This window comes from Homo sapiens, chromosome 5 (genome assembly GCF_000001405.40).
Source record: "Homo sapiens chromosome 5, GRCh38.p14 Primary Assembly".
In the NCBI taxonomy this organism is placed as follows: Eukaryota; Metazoa; Chordata; class Mammalia; order Primates; family Hominidae; genus Homo; species Homo sapiens.
This window is the reverse complement of record NC_000005.10, coordinates 110,980,240-110,986,513: the sequence shown is the minus strand read 5'-3', so window position 1 is coordinate 110,986,513 and position 6,274 is coordinate 110,980,240. Positions and strand designations below refer to the sequence as shown.

Sequence of the window (6,274 nt, the reverse complement as noted above, 5' to 3'; positions counted from 1 at the left end):
CTGTTGGAGTACCTGGGCATGTGAGGTGTCAGTCTGCCCCTGCTAGGGGGTACCTCCCAGTTAGGCTGCTCGGGGGTCAGGGGTCAGGGACCCACTTGAGGAGGCAGTCTGCCCTTTCTCAGATCTACAGCTGCGTGCTGGGAGAACCACTGGTCTCTTCAAAGCTGTCAGACAGGGACACTTAAGTCTGCAGAGGTTACTGCTGTCTTTTTGTTTGTCTGTGCCCTGCCCCCAGAGATGGATCCTACAGAGGCAGGCAGGCCTCCTTGAGCTGTGGTGCGCTCCACCCAGTTCGAGCTTCCTGGCTGCTTTGTTTACCTAAGCAAGCCTGGGCAATGGCGGGCGCCCCTCCCCCAGCCTAGCTGCCGGCTTGCAGTTTGATCCCAGACTGCTGTGCTAGCAATCAGCCTCCGTGGGCTTAGGACCCTCCGAGCCAGGTGCGGGACACAATCTCCTGGTGCGCCGTTTTTTAAGCCCGTCGGAAAAGCGCAGTATTCGGGTGGGAGTGACCAAATCTTCCAGGTGCCGTCTGTCACCCCTTTCTTTGACTAGGAATGGGAACTCCCTGACCCCCTGCGCTTCCTGAGTGAGGCAATGCCTCGCCCTGCTTCAGCTCATGCACGCACGGTGCACGCACCCACTGACCTGCGCCCACTGTCTAGTGAGATGAACCCGATACCTCAGATGGAAATGTAGAAATCACCCATCTTCTGTGTCGCTCATGCTGGGAGCTGTAGACCGGAGCTGTGCCTATTCGGCCATCTTGGCTCCTCTGATGTTACTTTAGTTTTATAATTCATTTTGAAATCAGAAAATGTTATGCCTCTAGCTTTGTTCTTTTCTCAAGACCATTTTGGCAATTTGGGTCTTTTGTGGTTTCATATTAATTTTTGAATTGTTTTTTTCTGTTTCTGAAAAAAACTGCCAATGAGATTTCAATAGGGATTGCACTGAATCTGTAAATCATTTTGGGTAATACGGATATTTTAACAATGTTGAATTTTGCAGTCAATAAACACGGGACGTATTTTTGTTTGTGTGTGTTTTAATTTCTTTTATCCATATTTCATTGTCTTTAATGTATAAGTATTTCAGCTCCTTAAGTAAGTTTATTTCTTAGTAGTTTATGTTTTATGTCATTGTAAATGGGGTTGTTTTCTTAATTGTTTATGTATAGAAATATCACTGATTTTTATATGTTGATCTTGTATGATCCAACATTTTTGACTTTGATTTCTAGTTCTATGCTTTTTATATTTTGAGTGTGTATGTTAAATCTTTAGAGTTTTATACAGATAAGATCATGCCACGTGCAAACAGAGTTAATTTTATTGCTTCCTTTCTGATTTGGAGACTTTTTGTTTCTTTGTCATCCCTAATTGCTCTGGCTAGGACTTTCAGTACTATGTCACAAGAGTAGGCATCCTGGTCTTATTCCTGATCCTAGAGGGAAAGCTTTCAACTTTTCACCATTGTGAAAAATATTAACTGCATTTTTTCATATATGATCTGTATCGTGTTGAGGTTATTTTCTTTTTCTTTTTCTTTTTTTTTATACTTCAAGTTTTAGGGTACATGTACACAATGTGCAGGTTAGTTACATATGTATGCATGTGCCGTGCTGGTGCGCTGCACCCACTAACTCGTCATCTAGCATTAGGTGTATCTCCCAATGCTATCCCTCCCCCCACCCCACAACAGTCCCCAGAGTGTGATGTTCCCCTTCCTGTGTCCATGTGTTCTCATTGTTCAATTCCCACCTATGAGTGAGAATATGTGGTGTTTGGTTTTTTGTTCTTTCGATAGTTTACTGAGAATGATGATTTCCAATTTCATCCATGTCCCTACAAAGGACATGAACTCATCATTTTTTATGGCTGCATAGTATTCCATGGCGTATATATGCCACATTTTCTTAATCCAGCCATCCCATTACTGGGTATATACCCAAAGGACTATAAATCATGCTGCTATAAAGAGGTTATTTTCTTATCTTCTTGTTTTGTTGAGAGTTTTTATCATGAAAAAGTGTTGAAATTTGTGTCTTTCACGCCCACAGACGGAGATGGGTGTTGTGAGTGGTGGTGGGCTACACAGACTGTGTGGTGTGAGCTTTTTGCTGGGAGGAGCTAGGTGAGGGTCCTGAACATCTGACTGGGCAGCTGGTGTCCCTCAAGAAGTGGTTGCTGGAGGGTCAGGTGGACAGCCTCTCAGTGACTCTGGGGCCGCTGGGTGTTCCTGAACTGATGGTGTCTTAGCCAGGCTGTGCTTATGCAATTCTAACGTGTATGTGGAAAAAGGACACAGGGTCCCCTCCTGCCTCTGAAGGGGTCATGGATGGCAGTAGGGAGACCCTAGCTGCCCGAGATGTGGTACTGCACCAGACATCTGGCCATATCCACAACAAGAATATCTCCACTCACCTAACTGGCAACAACAAACAAGGCCATGGCACTGAGAGTAGTGGCTCTGGCATCTTTGCCGTGAGCACACTGGATGGGATGCTGAAGCTCATGGAGGAAGCAGACAAGCTGTTGTGGTCAGCGCAGGTGGATCACCAGCTCTTCGCCCTGGAGAAATTGGGATGTCAACGGCAATGGGCATGAGGAGGTAGTTCCATGTGCCTGCGATGGACAGACATATATTATTGATCACAATCACACCGTCGTCCGCTTCTAAGTGGATGAAAATATCCGTGCCTTCTATGCAGGCCTGTATGCCTGCCCAGGGATGCAACAGCTCCTGCCTCGTATATGTCACTTTCAACCAGAAGATCTATGTGTACTGGGAGGTGCAGTTGGAGTGGATGGAGTCTACCAATCTGCTGAATGACTGGAGACCAAGCCTGAGTACCATAGCCTGCTGCAGGAGCTGGGCATGGATCCTGACAACCTCCCTGTGGCTCATGCCCTGCTTCACCAAACACTCTACCATCCGACCAACCACCACAGTGTGTTCCCTCAAGCCTCCAGGATCCCACCTAGCTGTACTTGCCTCACAGCTGGTGAAGGATTCTTCTGAACCCCTACCCTACCTCCTCAAGCTATCTTTGATATTGGCAGGATGGGGAATACACATTACAGAAGTGCAGGATTTGACTCTGGGCATGAAAGATGGCAGCAGCCCTAGGGTGACCACAAGCTATACACCTCATGGTCTTTTTGGTGAAAGAAGGGACAAGTTGACCCTTTGCCCATTTTCTTATGGACCTCACCCATCACACCAGCAAGGTCATAGGACCCTGGCCTTGTTCCAGATCATCTGGGACATGTCCCACTCCCCACTTTCACTGTGTAGAAAACAGAGACTTGTTTGCGTGGCCCCAATACCCATAAGGAAACCAGGCTTTAGGCCCAGGGGAGCAGTGGAGGTAAGGGCTCCACCCCATCTTAAGCTCTGTCTTTTATGGCACAATTCCAAGTTCTTAATATTAGTAATTGTTAAAGGAATGGCAAATTGTTTTGTTTTGAGGGGTCTTTCAGTGCAATCTACAATCTGGTCTTACCCATGTTCCTAACAAGCGTGAGATGATTTTCCTCCATTTACCAAAGCACCTGGGTCAGTGCTTTCTCATGTTGCCATATTCTTCAGGTATTAGCTTCAGAAGCCCTGTTCCCATTTTTCCACCCACCCATTCCCCCATAAAATACCTTGTTGTCTGTAAGACAATATACATTTAAAATGTGATGCAGACTTATGATCCAGACCACAATCAGAATTATATCTTGGGCCATTAAAAAAAAAAAAGAAATTTGTCAAATGTTTTTTCTGCATTTGTTGAAATGATCATGTGTTTTTGCCCTTCATTTGGTTAATGTGGTATATCACATTTATTGATATGCATATGGTAAACTATCCTTGCATCCAAGAAATAAATGTTACTTGGTCATGGGGTATACCTTTAATATGTTGTTGAATTTGGTTTGCTAGTATTTTGTGGAGGATTTTTTTTCATCTATGTTAACCAGACATATTAACCTGTGGTTTTCTTTTTTAAATATCATTTTTTTTTGCCTGGCTTTAGTATCAGGGTAGTGCTGATCTCATAAAATAAGTTTGAAAGTGTTTTGTGTTCTTTGATTTTTAGGAAGAATTGAGAAGGATTAATGTTAAGTTTTTAGAAGTTTGATAGAATTCAACACTTGAAGTCATCTGGTCCTGGGCTTTGTTTTTATTAGAAAGATTTTGGCTACTAATTCAATTTACTTACTATTTATAGATCTGTTCAGATTTTCTATTTATGTATTATTCAGTCTTGATAGGTTATATGTTTATCATAATTTATGCATTTCTTCTAGGTTATCCAATTTGTTGGCATATAATTGTTCATAATAGTCACTTATGGTCATTTTTATTTCTGAGACATCTGTTATAGTATCTCCACTTTCATTTATGATTTTATTTGTTGGAATCCCTCTCTTAATCTAACTAAAGATTTGTCAATTTTGCTTATCTTTTAAAAAATCAAATCTTATTTTGTTGCTATTTTCTATTTTTCTATTCTCTGTTTTATTTATTTCTGCTTTAATCTTTATTATTTCTCTCCTCCTACCTTTGGGCTTATTTTGTTTTTCTAGTTCTTTGAGGTATAAAGTTAGGTAATTTATTTGAAATCTTTCTTCTTTTTAATATAGATGTTTATTGCTATAAATGTCCTCTTAGTACTGCTTTTGCTGCATCCTATACGTTTTGGTATGTTGTGTTATTGTTTTAATTTGTCTCAATATATTTTAAATTTGATTTTTTATTTATTCTTTGAACCATTGGTTATTCAAGAGTATGTTTTAACTTTCCACATATTCATAGATTTTCCAGTTTCCCTTCTGCTATTAATTTCTAGTCTCACTCTATCATGATCAGTAAAGAAACTCAGCATGATTTGACTCTTCGTAAGTCTGTTAAGATTGGTTTTGTTACCTAACATGATCTATCCTGGAGAAAATTGCATGTACACTTGGCAAGAATGTTCAATTGCTGTTGCATGGAATGTTCTGTATATGTCTATTAGGCCCATTTAGTCTAACATGTTGTTCAAGTCCACCTGTGTCCTTATTGATTGTCTAACTCTTCTACCCATTATTGAAAGTGGAGTACTGAAGTCTCCTATTATTATTGTGTTTCTGTGTTTTCCCTTTTATTTCTGTTCATGTTTGCTTTACATATTTAGGTGCTCTGATGTTTAGTGCATATATATATATATATATGCACACACATAATTGTGATATCTTCCCGGTGAGTTGACCCTTTTATCATTCTATGTTTTCCTCTATCTTGAGACAGTTTTTGACTTAAAGTCTATTTTGTTTGATATAAGTATAGCCACCATGCTTTCTTTTGGTCATTATTTGCATAGGATGTGTATGTGTATATATATATATATGTATATATACGTATATACATATACACACACATGTGCACGCACACACACATATTTTTATCTTTTCAATTTTAGCCTATGTGTCTCCTAAAATCTCAGGTGAATCTGTTGAGCACAGCATATAGTTGAATCTTTTTGTCTACCCAGTCAGTTACTCTGTGTCTTTTGATTGAAGAGGTCATTCCATTAACATTTCAAGTGAGTGTTAGAGAACAACTTACTGTTGCCATTCTGTTAATAGTTTTCTGTTTTGTGATTCTTTTGTACCTTTTCTTCTCTTGCTGTCTTCCTTTATGTTACATTGAGTTTTTGGTATTGATATGCTTTGATTTCTTTCTCGTTTATGTAGATGTTTTCTTCGTGGTTACCACCAGGCTTACATAAAACAACTTATTGTTATAACAATCTATTTTAAACTGTAAACAACTCAACTTCAATCACATATAAAACTCTCTACTTTAACTTCTCTCCTTCATACATATACTTTGTTATTATTGTCACAAGTTACCTGTATTCATATTGTTTCTTTTAACATATTTTTATTTATTGTGATTTTTAATACTTTTGTCTTTTAACTTTTATACTAGAATTAAAAGTGATTTACCCACCATCATTATGATATTACAGTATTCTGTATTTTTCTTTATATCTGCTTCTTTCAGTAAGTTTTATACTTTTACATACTTTCATATATCCATTTGACATCCTTTCATGTTAACTGGAAGAACTCCCTTTAGCATTTCTTTTAAGGTGGATCTAGTGATGATGAACTTCCTCAGCTTTTACTTGTCTGGGAAAATCTTTATTTCTGCTTCACTTTTGAAAGACGGTTTTTCCAGCTATAATATTCTTGGTTGTCAGGTTATTTTTTTTCCTTTATTTCAGCATTTAAGTCCC

The 6,274-nt window shown here is 39.4% G+C and overlaps 1 pseudogene; it reads left to right on the top strand.

The window, feature by feature from the left end:
• Positions 2,059–3,735, top strand: LOC100131280 (integrin alpha FG-GAP repeat containing 2 pseudogene; annotated as a pseudogene).